Here is a 13,837-nt window from a genome sequence, read left to right as displayed (position 1 = left end):
AATAAATTGAACACATATTTGTAATGCTTTTTAAAAATATCTTTATTGATACATAATTCACATACAATTTGCATAATTAATGTATATAGTTAAATGATTTTTAGTATATTCACAGAGTTGTACAACCATCATCACAATCTAAATTTAGAACATTTTTATCACCCCAAAAAGAAACCCTGTACCCATTAGCAGCCACTCCCCATTCTTCCCTCCCCAAAGCTCCTGGCAACCACAAATCAACTTTCTGCCTCTGTAGACTTACCTATTCTGAATATTTCATATAAATGAAATCATGCACTCTCTGTTCTTTTGTCACTGGCTTCCTTCCCTTAACATGATGTTTTCAAGATTCAACTTGCAAGGATTTTAGAACAGTCTTCGCACATCGGAGGTCTACTTTGAGTTTGCAGTTATTATTTCCTGGGCTATTCTTCCTTGAGGACTAAATTCCAACCTTTTCCATGCTTCTGGGGTTCCAGTATTTACTCTCTGCAGTATTTTTAACTCCTTTTTTTTTTACTTTCATCTCTGTCTTTGCATATAAACCCTCTGAAGCCTCTCCAATATCTAATTCTTTCCTATCTTTCTCTCCAGACAACATTAATTTAAAAGCTATCTACTGTTTCTACCACATTTTCCTATTAACTCTTGATAACTTATCTATCATCTAGTAGTAGAAATATAAGTTGAATGTTCCTTATCCAAAATGCATGGGACCAGAAGATTTTCAAATTTAGATTTTTTTCAGATTTTGGAATACTTGCACATACATAATGAAATATTTTGGGGATAGGATCCAAGTCTAAACATGAAATTTATTTATGTTTTATACACACAGTATACACATAGGCTGATGGTAACTTTACACAATATTTTAAATAATTTTGTGCATGAAACAAAGTTTTGTCTACATTTTTACTGTGCTCCATCACATGAAGTCACATGTGGAATTTCCCTTTTGTTGAATCATGTTGCCACTTTAAAGGTTTTAGATTTTGGATCATTTTGGATTTCAGGTATTTGGACTAGGGATGCTCAACATGTAGTAGTAGGGCTTTTTCTCTTAGAATTACCACTGACTCTCAGAGATAGACCCTCAAAATGGCCATGTTTGTTGCATTAAGTTGAACCATATAAAATGGCCAATATGCAACGATTTTTTGCTTACAACAATGGCAATTTTACATCACTCAATCTGTCAATTCCCTCCAGTCAAAGACTACTACAAATGCACCTGCAGTTGTGGAACTTGGGTTTACTACTCCTGGGCTCTCTCAGTAGGAAGGTTTTAGGATTTGAGTTTGTCTTAGATGATTGACGGTGGGTGTTAAGGATGTAGGAATTTGCTCCAAATTGGATGCTATCAGAAAACAGAAGCAATTATTTTTCTCAATCCCCTGCCAAAGGAAGATGATATTGTTGATATTCAGATTTTTACCATTGCTGAGATTTTGCTAATCAAGATCAGAAAGTTGTTGATATGGTTTGGATCTCTGTCTCCACCCAGATCTCATGTTGAATTGTAATCCCCAGTGTTGGAGGTGGGGCCTGATGGGAGGTGATTGGATCACGGGAGTGGATTTCCACCTTAGTACTGTCATGACAATAATGATTGAGTTCTCGTGAGATCTGGTCATTTAAAAGTGTGTGGCATCTCCCCCATCTCTCTCTTGCTCCTACTATGGCCATGTGAGCTGATCTGTGTGCTTCCCCTTCACCTGAGGGGTTTCAAGTTTCCTGAGGCCTCCCCAGAAGCCACCCAGATGCCACCATCATGCTTCCTATACAGCCTGCTGAACCATGAGCTAATTAAACCTCTTTTTAAATTACCCAATCTCAGGTATGTCTTTAAACAGTGCTGGAATGGACTAGTACAGTCGTTCAGAGAACAGAGTCCATATTGGATTAGGGTTAACTCCTCCTTCTGTCATAGGATGAATTGAATCATCTTACATGACAATGGCTATGCAGTCATATTTAGATGTCTGAATAGGATATATTGGCCAACTGCAAAAAAGTAATAACCTAAAAAATATGATTACTTATTCACCTTCACAATAAGTCTCAAAGACAGAAGCCTAGAATATAAAATAAGGGTGATGAAAATATATCCCAGAATTCACCTGGATCTGTTTTAGAGAGGTAGATGTTTATTTTAGCTTAGACATGGACTATTCTACTTGTCCTCTAACATATATAACCACATCAAGAAGTGATCTATTATAGTAAATTTTTCCTTGGATTGTTAAGAATAATTCAAAGGCTATGTAACTATTCATGATAACTTCAGTGAATAAATTTAAATTTAAATGGCTTTATCAGGCTTCTAAAGAAGAAGTTGTGTAATTTTTTTTTTTTAATTTTTTATTGATCATTCTTGGGTGTTTCTCGCAGAGGGGGATTTGGCAGGGTCATAGGACAATAGTGGAGGGAAGGTCAGCAGATAAACAAGTGAACAAAGGTCTCTGGTTTTCCTAGGCAGAGGACCCTGCGGCCCTCCGCCGTGTTTGTGTCCCTGGGTACTTGAGATTAGGGAGTGGTGATGACTCTTAACGAGCATGCTGCCTTCAAGCATCTGTTGAACAAAGCATATCTTGCACCGCCCTTAATCCATTTAACCCTGAGTGGACACAGCACATGTTTTAGAGAGCACAGGGTTGGGGGTAAGGTCACCGATCACCAGGATCCCAAGGCAGAAGAATTTTTCTTAGTACAGAACAAAATGAAAAGTCTCCCATGTCTACTTCTTTCTACACAGACACCGCAACCATCCGATTTCTCAATCTTTTCCCCACCTTTCCCCCCTTTCCATTCCACAAAACCGCCATTGTCATCATGGCCCGTTCTCAGTGAGCTGCTGGGTACCCCTCCCAGATGGGGTGGTGGCCGGGCAGAGGCGCTCCTCACACCCCAGACGGGGCGGTGGGACAGAGGCGCTCCCCACATCTCAGACGATGGGCGGCCGGGCAGAGACGCTCCTCACTTCCTAGATGGGATGGCGGCAGGGAAGAGGCACTCCTCACTTCCTAGATGGGATGGCGGCCGGGCAGAGACGCTCCTCACTTTCCAGACTGGGCAGCCAGGCAGAGGGGCTCCTCACATCCCAGACGATGGGCGGCCAGGCAGAGACACTCCTCACTTCCCAGACGGCGTGGCGGCCGGGCAGAGGCTGCAATCTCGGCACTTTGGGAGGCCAAGGCAGGTGGCTGGGAGGTGGAGGTTCACGCCACTGCACTCCAGCCTGGGCACCATTGAGCACTGAGTGAACGAGACTCCGTCTGCAATCCCGGCACCTCGGGAGGCTGAGGCTGGCGGATCACCCGCGGTTAGGAGCTGGAGACCAGCCCGGCCAACACAGCGAAACCCCGTCTCCACCAAAAAAATACGAAAACCAGTCTGGTGTGGCGGCGCGCACCTGCAATCGCAGGCACTCGGCAGGCTGAGGCAGGAGAATCAGGCAGGGAGGTTGCAGTCAGCCGAGATGGCAGCAGTACAGTCCAGCTTCGGCTCTGCATCAGAGGGAGACCGTGGAAAGAGAGGGAGAGGGAGACCGTGGGGAGAGGGAGAGGGAGAGGGAGAGGGAGAGGGAGAGGGAGATTGAGAAAGTTGTGTAATTTTTAAGTTTTTCTTGATTCAAAGACAAGTTTTTGGCATCCTTCTCCAAAAGTGTTTTTGTTTGTTTTTTTACTGTGGGAGTTATAGCTCATGTAGTATACATAAAGAGGGAGTTAATTTTTCCTACATGGAATTTTTCCAAATAGCCTGTATTTGCTGCTTTTTTAAATTTTTTTTTTTAATTCTGGGGTGCATGAGCAGGATGTGGAGGTTTGTAACATAGGTAGATGTGTGTCACAGTGGTTTGCTGCCCCTATCAACTCATCACCTAGGTATTAAGCCCAGCATGTGTTAGCTATTTTTCCTAATACTCTTCCTTCCCCCACCCCACCCCTGGACAGGCCCCAGTGTGTGTGGTTCCCCTCCCTGTCTCCATGTGATCTCATTTTTCTGCTCCCACTTATGAGTGAGAACATGTGGTGTTTGGTTTTCTGTTCTTGCCTTAGTTTACTAAAGGTAGTGGCTTCCAGCTTCATCCACGTCCCTGCAAATGACATGATCTCATTCCTTTTATGGCTGCCTAGTATTCCATGGTGTATATGTACCACATTTTATTTATCCAGTTTATCATTGATGGGCATTTATGTTGATTCCACGTCCTTGCTATTGTGAATAGTGTTGTAATGAACACTGACATACATGTATCTTTGTAATAAAATGATTTATATTCCATTGGCACCGGGTGCTGTGGCTCACGTCTGCAATTGAGGCGGGCAGATCACGAGGTCAAGAGTTTGAGACCAGCTGGCCAACATGGTGAAACTCCGTCTCTACTAAAAATACAAAAATTAGCTGCAAGTGGTGGCACATGCCTGTAATCCCAGTTACTCAGGAGGCTGAGGCAGGAGAATCACTTGAACCTGGGAGATGGAGGTTGCAGTGAGCCGAGATCGTGCCACTGCACTCCCACCTGAGTGACAGGGAATGTGTCAAAAAAAAGAAAAAGAATGATTTATATTCCTTTGGGTATATTCCGATATGAGGGCGGGGGCGTGGAGCCAAAGCGGGTGGAGCCAAGATAGCCGAATAGAGGCATCTCTGCTCTGCAGCTCCCACCGAGAAGGACGGAAACTGCCAGTGAACTCTGCATCTTCAATTGAGGCACCAAAGCTCTCTCACTGGGACTGACTAGGTGGCGGGCGTGACCCACGGAGAGCAAGCAAAAACAGGGTGGAACAAGACCCCACCTGGCAGCTGCAGGCAGCCAAGGGAGCTCCTTCCCCCTGCCAAGGGAGATGGTGAGGGACTGTGCTTCCCCTCCCTGAAAACCAGGCTTTCCCCACGGATCCTTGCCTCTTTTTGGAGGTTCCTGGGCATTCTTTTCAAGGAAACATGATCTGCTGGTACTTTTAAAATATCAAAAAATCTCTAACAATTATACTGCATATACAGGTTAAGTTAGTGTGTGGCAGGCAAGTATAAGCCTTGTGTTCACATAGGTAGTACTCTAGAAAGTACAGATTCTATTGAGAGTGTAAGTACAATTTAGAACAATAGAAGAAGGCTGATGTTTTGTCCCTCAAATTGGGCAGATTCCTTAGAAGAAGTTAAATATTTCCTGCAAAGCTGATTGGTGTGTCTGTGAAGAGAACAAACTGACTATTGTGAGAAGAATGGTATTAGTTCTCTTTTCTAAAAGGCTGTTTTGCTGATACAGCTGTAACAACTTTAGCAAAAATATTTTGCTAATGGGAGGCCAAAGTTTAATTTGTATAGGACTCAGTAAAGGTTGTCATTAATGATGGGAGGGAAATTTAAGCTATGGAAGGTCCTATAAATAATCTACTTTTTGAAGTGTTGGAAGGAATAGTTATTAAATTTTGTCAGCAAACAGTTAAATTCCTAGCCATAGCTATAATGTGAGAAAAACACATCAGGAAGTTTTGTTTTTTCTTAAATAGCCAAAGATTATGTAGAGTCAAAAGTAATAGAATTATGATAAGGAAGATCATATTGAAAATTCTTTTAATTAGTTCATAAAAGGTACAAAAATATAATAATGGTTTATATTAATAGTAAGGGAAAAGCAAATGGGTGATGAAGAATCAGAAATTAATCTTGTCTGTTGACTTGGGTAGAAGCTGCTTTTTCTGTAGTCATCAACATGTTCTGTCTCCTTGTGTGTAAACCATTTATTTCTCTAGTCAGAGGCTTCTGTACATAACAATCCTAAATTTAGGGTCTCTGAATGGAGTGGCCATACAATAATCACTAAAAAAAAATGTGTTGGTTGTTTTTTACGTTGGGATCAACACCTTGGAGTTTTACTGGTATATCAGTTGTTAACATTACCAGGTAAGACCTAGTCTATCAAAGTTCAAAGTCAATTTTTCCCTAATTCCTTCTTTAGAAGACTAAATATCCGGGTTTCTGATCATGGAGAGTCCACTTAGGAGGATGTTTTAGAAATACAGCTTGTTAGTGATAAAGCTGTAGGCATCATCTGAATCCCTGGTAATGGTCAGTCACACCTGCTTGTAATAGCTTAGAATCTAGGCTTGGAAATAATGCCCCAATGCATAAGGCAAATCTGTTTTTAACTCAGAGGGAGAAAACCTGTGGTTCCTAGAGAGAACTGATCTTATTTTCATATAAGCTAATTGTAATGATTTGGGACCTGGGTATTTGATGTTCCTTCAAGCTTTGATAGTTATAGTTTAGAACTGCATTCCCTGCATTCTTTTCATTTTTCCTGAAGCTTGTAGATCATAAGGTAATAGAGATTCTGAGTAAAATGTAAAGCTAGAATGGAATAGAGTGAGATTCAGCAGCACTTCTGCCCACTATGAAAACTAAGAAGTTGAGAGAGTCAGTTGGCAGAGAGATGAATGAAGCAGAGATGCAAGGACAAGAAATGGAAAAAGTCCAATTTCCAGTTTCAGTCCTACCCAAGATCTGCATTCTTAGTCAGAAGACACTCTGTATTCTTACAATAATTCATCCTTTTAAAAAAGTATTGTTATGTTTAAGTAGTTTGCATTGATTTATGTTATTTGCTCACATTGATCAAAGTTGGGATAGCATGATTATCAAATAGAATACTAACTGCCGTGATCCAAAATGCATCTAATATTTTTAAAGCACAAGTGCATATAAAACTTTTGAGAAATACTAACTGGCCATTATTACAGGATGCTATGAAGCACTTTATTATTTTGAAAATTGTTAGATAAAAGGAAAGGAATAAACATTTATCCTCTCTTTCCTACATAAATGATACCACTGAGTGACTCAATATTAGATGAGATAATTCTCTTTTAAAAAGTTTCCAGGGGCCAGCGCTGTGGCTCCCATCTGTAATCCTAGTGTTTTGGGAGCCTGAGGTGGGAGGATTGCTACAAAACAAGACTCAATTTCTACATAAAGAAAAAAAAAGAAATTTAGCGAGTCATGGTGGCATGCACCTGAAGCCCCAGCTACTTGGGAGGTTCAGGTAGAAGAAGAATTGCTTGAGCCCAGGAGCTCAAGGCTGCAGTGAGCTATGGTAACACTACTGCACTCCATCTGGGTGACAAAGTGAGACTCTGTCTCTAAAAAAATAAAAATAAAAAAGGAATGATAGAATGAGAATATCACCATTTTTCAAGCCCTAATGAATTATTAGATCTCGATATTAAGTGTTAGTGGCAGCTAACATCATATATAGATGCACACATAAAGAGACAACTAGATATTATGTGCATCTAGATGGAAGAAAATAACCCTTCCTATGAGGTATTCTTGCCATAAAAGTTGAACCTGAATCTGTGCAAGCCTCTGCTTAAAGAAAATATAGGAGACAGAGAAGCATGTTAGAAATGACATCATACGAATTACATCAGCCAAAATAAGACTGGAATAAGTCTTTAGCTTTTTTCTTTTTTTTTTTTTAACAGATGTATTGCAAGAATGCAAGTGGGGAAAGCAAGAGCAAGAGTGAAAAGATTATTATGGATAAAAAAAGCTTGAAAGATATACCAACTAATCCCAATTTGGGGGCCTTGTTTAGATCCTGATTCAAGCAAAAGGTAAAAAATTATATGATTATAAGATAATCAGAAATTTGAACACTAAGTATTTTATGATATTAAAGGTTATTGCTAGTTGTTTTTTAAGTGTGATAATTGTATTGTGATTACATTTTTTAAAATATTCTTATGTTTAAAAGATGCCTGAAATATTCATGGATGAAACATTATGTCTGTCATTTATTTCAAAATAATGTGTGAGGAGAGAAGTGGATGGGAGTACAGATAAAACAAATTGTTCATAGATGAAAATTGTCAAAGCTGAATGATGAAAGCTCATTAAACTGTTCTTTTTTTACTTAGTATATATGTTTTGAAGATTTCCATAATATAATTTTAACTAAACCAGATCATTTGGATATCTATATTAAAAAAGTAAAATTTGACTGACATCTCACTTCTTACCAAAAAAAATTGTAAGTATATTATATATTTATAACAGAGATTATCTTCTTATCCTGGGGTAGAGAAAAATTACTCAAATGGGACACATAAAGCACAAATGGTAAAGAAAGGTTAAATAGATTTTATTATATTAGCATTAAACATTTAAGAATTTCTCTTTACCAAAAACAATCATTAATAGAGTGAAAAAGCAAACCACAACTGGGAGAATATATTTGCAAAACAGCTATCAGTTAAATACAAAATACATACAGGAGAGCTATGCACCATTAAGAAAAAACAGACAACTCAATAGAAAAATGAGCAAGAGACTTGAACAGGCAATTCAGAAAAGAAGAACTCCAGATAGCCTAATATGTACAGTATATATACATATATATTTATGTATATATATGTTTTCATATACACATATACAGTATGTATACTGTATATATTTATGTATATGTGTATTCACATATATGTAATGAAAAAGGGTTTATCCTCATTAGTAATCAAGGAAATTCGTATTCAAAGAATAAGGACATACACCCAGATGGCTAAAACAAAGACAGCTGACAATACCAAGTGTTAGCAAGTATGAGGAGCCATGGAAACTTTAATACACTGCTGATGAGAATGTAAATTTAGGCAATTACTACTTTGGGAACTGATATTTTCCAGTGAAGTTGAAGATATGCTTACCCTATGACCTAATGATTCCATTCTTAGGTTTATACCCAACTGAATTGTGTGCCCATGACCCAAAGAGACACTTGTATCACAAGTGCTTTAATAACATTATTTGTAATATAACAAAAAAATCAAAATAACCAAATGTCAGCTGAGCGTGGTGGCTCACACCTGTAATCCCAGCACTTTGGAAGGCTGAGGCAGGTGGATCTCCTGAGGTCAGGAGTTTGAGACCAGCCTAACCAATATGGTGAAACCCCATCTCTACTAAAAATACAAAACTTAGCCAGGCATGGTGGTGCACACCTAATCCCAGCTACTCAGGAGGCTGAGACAGGAGAATCGCTTGAACCCTGGGAGGCAGAGGTTGCAGTGAGCTGAGATCATGCCACTGCACTCCAGCCTGGGCAACAGAGCAAGACTCCATCTGAAAAAAAAAAAAAACAACCAAATGTCAACGATATTAGGATAGATAAGCTGTGGCATATCTATACAGTGGACTGTTACGCAGCAATAATAGTAGACTACAGTTACACAGAAGAACAATGTGGAATTATAATACAAACACATATTAAGCCAAAAAAAGCCAAGCACAAAACAATACAGATGGTATGATCTCAAAAGTTCAAAAACAGACAAAGCTACATCATAGTGTTTGAGTATGTGTGCTTGCAGTAAAACTGTATTTTTAAAAAAGCAAGGAAGTGATTACTGTAAAAGTCAGAACAATGATTACTTCTGGGGACAGGGAGGGTGAAATGATTGAAAAGGGGAACAAAAGAGAGTGCTGGGATGCTAGCAATCTTCTATTTCTCGACTTTGTTGGTGGCTGTGGAGGGATTTGCTTTATGATAAGTTCTTGAACTGTACATGTTTGTTTTGTGCATTTTTCTGGATGTGTGTTACATTTCATATTGAGTGAAAGGTTTTTCATTCAGTACCTCAAATGAGAAACCCTAGTGGAGGCACTGAAAAGAAGCCTGGATTTGTTAGAAAGCTGATTGGTTGGAATAGAAGGAAAACTCTAGAATTTTTCCTAGATCTCAAAGGCAAGGGATTTAAAATGAAGAAAGGCACTCATAACCACCCTCTAAACTGACCTTTTTTGACATTGTTCCTCTTAATGCCTATAAATTGCCATGTATTTTGACCTTAACTTGATCTCCATTGCATGAATAGCTTGTGGTTGGTTAGCACAGCATGATTTATTTCACATGACTCCTTTCACCTTGACCTCCTTACAAGACCTAACTGAAAATCACCCATGCCATCTTAGTTATTGTGAGTAGTGCTGCAGTGAACACTGGAGTGCAATTATCTTTTAGAGGTCCTGATTTCAATTCTGTTGACTAAATGCCCAGAAATGAGACTGCTGGATCACATGGTAGTTCTACTTTTAATTTTTTGAGGAATCTTCATATTGTTTTCCATAGTAGCAGTACTGTTTTGTCAAGTGAAGGATGAACAGATGAAGGAAATGTGTTGTATAGAGAGAAGGGAATATTATTCATCCTTAAAAAATAAAGAAATCCTGCAATATGCAACAACATGAATTAACCTTGAGGACATTATGCTAAGTGAAATAAGCCACCAAGAAGGAAAAACACTGTGTGTTTCCACTTACATGGGGTATCTAAAATATTCAGACTCATAAAATCAGAGAGTAGAATTGTGGTTTCTGTGGGCTGGGGAAAGAGGAAAACGACAAATCACTAATCAACTGGTATAAAGTATCAATTGTACAAGATAAGTAAGTTCTGGAGACCTACTGTACAACATTGTCCTTATAGTTGGCAATGTTGTATCTTACACTTGAAAATGTGTTAAGAGGATAGACCTCACATTAAGTGTTCTTACCACAGTAAAACACATTTTTTTCAAAAATCGCCCAGCTGGCCGGGCGCGGTGGCTCACGCCTGTAATCCCAGCACTTTGGGAGGCTGAGGCGGGTGGATCACAAGGTCAGGAGATCGAGATCATCCTGGCTAACAAGGTGAAACCCCGTCTCTACTAAAAATACAAAAAATTAGCCGGGCGCAGTGGCGGGCGCCTGTGGTCCCAGCTACTCGGGAGGCTGAGGCAGGAGAATGGCGTGAACCTGGGAGGCGGAGCTTGCAGTGAGCCGAGATTGCGCCAGTGCAGTCCGGCCTGGGCAACAGAGCGAGACTCCGTCTCAAAACAAAAACAAAAACAAAATCGCCCAGCCTAGGTCCTAAAACTCTGTAAATACCCTGCCTTATTCTTTCATTTTCAGATACTTATAAGATTCTGTCAAGGTGGTGTTCTCTCTTACTGTAGTTAATCTTATAAACTTGACTTTGGTTGATCAATAGGTTTTTCTGATGGTCCTTGGGGTATCTGACAGTTAATCAATAGATTAGTTCAGGCACATAAGAGTGACAGCTCAAAGACCTCTATTCATTATGAAAATTAGGACCTAAAATTGAGAAAATTCTCAATACTTGGGATTACAGGATATCATAAAGTATTTCCAATAAACCAGATCCTAGGGCTAATGTGGGTTCCTCACACCTGACCTTTGGAACAGGACCCCATGTGTTTCATGACCTTCTGGTCCCAGCGCAGGGCCCCTATCATAGTAAGTGCTTAAAAAAATAGATGCTGAAAAAATGAAAGCACAGTTAGTTTCATATTTGTATGAATGTGTTTCCATAGTAATTTTTTAATTAAAAAAATGACTTATAAACATGACTTCATAAAATTTTGTCCTCTTAGAAAGTTTTAAAGAGCCTGGCTTAAAAGGAAAATATATTCATTACTCAGCTCTATAGGAGGCAATTTCCATGAGATTATTTGATACAATCCGTTTATAAGAAGCGCATTTCTCACTAGAGGGAGCTCAGAATCCACCATTAAATGGCAAGACACGCTGGATAAAATGTCACTTCACTTTAGGGAGAAAAGTCTGTTTGGGTAAATATGACATTGATTTCCAGAAGTTGGGAATTTTTAATATGCCAATTTTTCCCATTGTTAACCTCTGCAATTCTAAATGACATAAAAGGGAAATAATACAAACTCTCATAATGATCAGCCAATTACTTAATAAGCTAATATTGTAAATAAACACAGTAGGGCAAATAAAAAGATATGGCATTATCTCTACCTGCTTGATGAAGGATGGTGGTAAAAATCCTAGTATTCATGAAAATGAGAAATTACATAAGGCAGTGGTAAATATGAGTATCGGGAAAAGCTGTTTGGAGAAATATAGTTTTGCTCTTTGCCCTTTTCCTGTGCCCATAGGTAACTCCGTGGAGCATCTTCTACTTTAAAGTTGCACCTTCTTGGGTACATTTGGGTACATTTGGGGAAAGGGGCTATCTCACAGCCACTCCTAAGCCAGCGTGTTCAGTAGCCTGCTTCTCTCCTATCATCCACTCCATCTCCTTTGACACCCTCAGCTCAGAATCGTGGAGCCACCAGCTTTTCCTCATCCACCACCTGACCTCAGCTGCCAACTCTTTCAATCTCAACAGCAATGTTAAGATTGGATTTGGAGGCTGGGCACGGTGGCTCATGCCTGTAACCCCAGCACTTTTGGAGGCTGAGGCAGGCGGATCACCTGAGGTCAGCAGTTTGAGACCATCCTGGCCAACATGGCAAAACCCTGTCTCTACTTAAAATACAAAAATTAGCAGGGCGTGATGGCGGACATCTGTAATCCCAGCTACTCAGGAGGCTGAAGCAGGAGAATCGCTTGAACACAGGAGGCGGAGGTAGCAGTGAGCTGAGATCGCGCTACTGCACTCCAGCCTGGGCAACAAAGCGAGACTCCGTCTGAAAAAAAAAAAAAAAAAAAAAAAAAAGATTGTATTTGGAGCAAAGTTTTACTAAATCCTTGGAAGAAAACTGCACTGTATCTAAAAAGCACTTCATCCGATTCTCCCATGTAACTGGGAACTTCTCACTGACCCTCATTTCTCTCAGATTCCAGACTACAACCATCCCCCACCCTCCACCTCAGATTCTGAAGTTTTTCTCTACCCTTTGAAATTCTTCACACTTCTCTTTACCCTAGAGTTCCAAAATCTACCATGCATGTATGTCCCAAATATTATATAGGACCTATTTATACTAAAAAGCTACTCCTGTTTTATCTGAATTTCAAGTTTTACCAGGTATTCTATATTTTTTCTAAATCTGGCAACTATCCCTCAGAGTCATCGCTCTGCTTTCCCTGGGGACAGAGGAGAAAACTCAGGATTCCTCCCCCTTTATTAAATAAGTTATCTTTATTTCATCCTCTCCCACCAAGGCAACACCCAGAGAAAATAATTTTTCTCACTTCTTTCCCTTAGAACAAATGTTTGATTTCTGTTTTAAATAGCAGAGTTTTTTCTATCTCCATCATATATCACCTATCTCTTAACATGTTTGCATTTAACAAGTTAGAGTGACTTGTTTTCCAGTTTTATTTTCGTGAGTGAACACAGATGTTTCAGAATTGCCTCATCCAACCATTTAGTTCATTGTGTTCATGTCAGTTGTGCACTAAACACTAAACTAGGTATAGGATATCAAAATGAGTAAAAGAAGGGCTCTGTCTGGGGAGGCAGTGTCTTTTAAAATGGGAAAGTAAACAATGAGTCCACATTAGCAGATGGCTCTGAACTCAGCCGAGAACAGTAAACTCTGCCTAGCGTTTTCACATTTTGGTTTAACATCGTTTGTGAGTTAGTGACTTTTGAAGGGAAAGAACAGCCTTCTAGAACACCAACATCACACTTAGATTGTCCTTAAATAAACTGCTGCCTTTTAAGCAACACTGGGAGTGAATTCTGTCCTGCTGACCCCCTTTCCAATTGCAACAAACACCTAAAATGACTTTGGAAGCTGGCAGAGAACCCTTTTTGAGGAGGTGCAGACAGATATCCCCTTATGGTGAACAACTTCTACACTTAAATAACCTTACTCACTTTGAATAGATTCTTATTAGTTTTCCTTTTGGGGGGCTATTTAGGTTTCTAAATTTTGAGGTACCTAACATTTACATGCTGTTACAATCTGATATGAAGTTCATCAATGATTAAGTTATTTAGACTATTTTTTAAGACTTCTTTTTTTTTTTTGGAGATGGAGTCTCACTCTGTCACCAGGCTGGAGTACAGTGGTGCGGT

General features: G+C 39.5%; 1 long non-coding RNA gene across 2 annotated transcripts in view, besides 1 other annotated feature; it reads right to left on the bottom strand.

Moving 5' to 3' along the window:
• The window catches only part of LOC105374813 (uncharacterized), a 41,322-nt gene that overhangs the window by 23,945 nt on the left and 3,540 nt on the right, over positions 1 to 13,837 (bottom strand). Inside the window, exon 2 of one of the 2 annotated variants that reach the window (XR_007087116.1) lies at positions 8,134 to 9,123. The exons of the other annotated variant lie outside the window; for it this stretch is intronic. This is a non-coding gene — a long non-coding RNA (uncharacterized LOC105374813). Of the gene's footprint in view, positions 1 to 8,133; positions 9,124 to 13,837 lie in introns of those variants that run through there. 2 annotated transcript variants of the gene reach the window in all.
• Positions 3,074 to 3,574: an enhancer, noted in NCBI's record as "H3K4me1 hESC enhancer chr2:75951704-75952204 (GRCh37/hg19 assembly coordinates)". NCBI's record gives its function as "activates a minimal SCP1, AML or CMV promoter by ChIP-STARR-seq in naive and primed H9 embryonic stem cells {active_cell/tissue: H9 hESC(naive and primed)}" and the evidence as "EXISTENCE:reporter gene assay evidence [ECO:0000049][PMID:30033119]".

This window comes from Homo sapiens, chromosome 2, assembly GCF_000001405.40.
Source record: "Homo sapiens chromosome 2, GRCh38.p14 Primary Assembly".
Taxonomy (NCBI): Eukaryota; Metazoa; Chordata; class Mammalia; order Primates; family Hominidae; genus Homo; species Homo sapiens.
The sequence above is the reverse complement of the archived record's forward strand: the minus strand, read 5'-3'. Positions and strand labels throughout refer to the sequence as shown.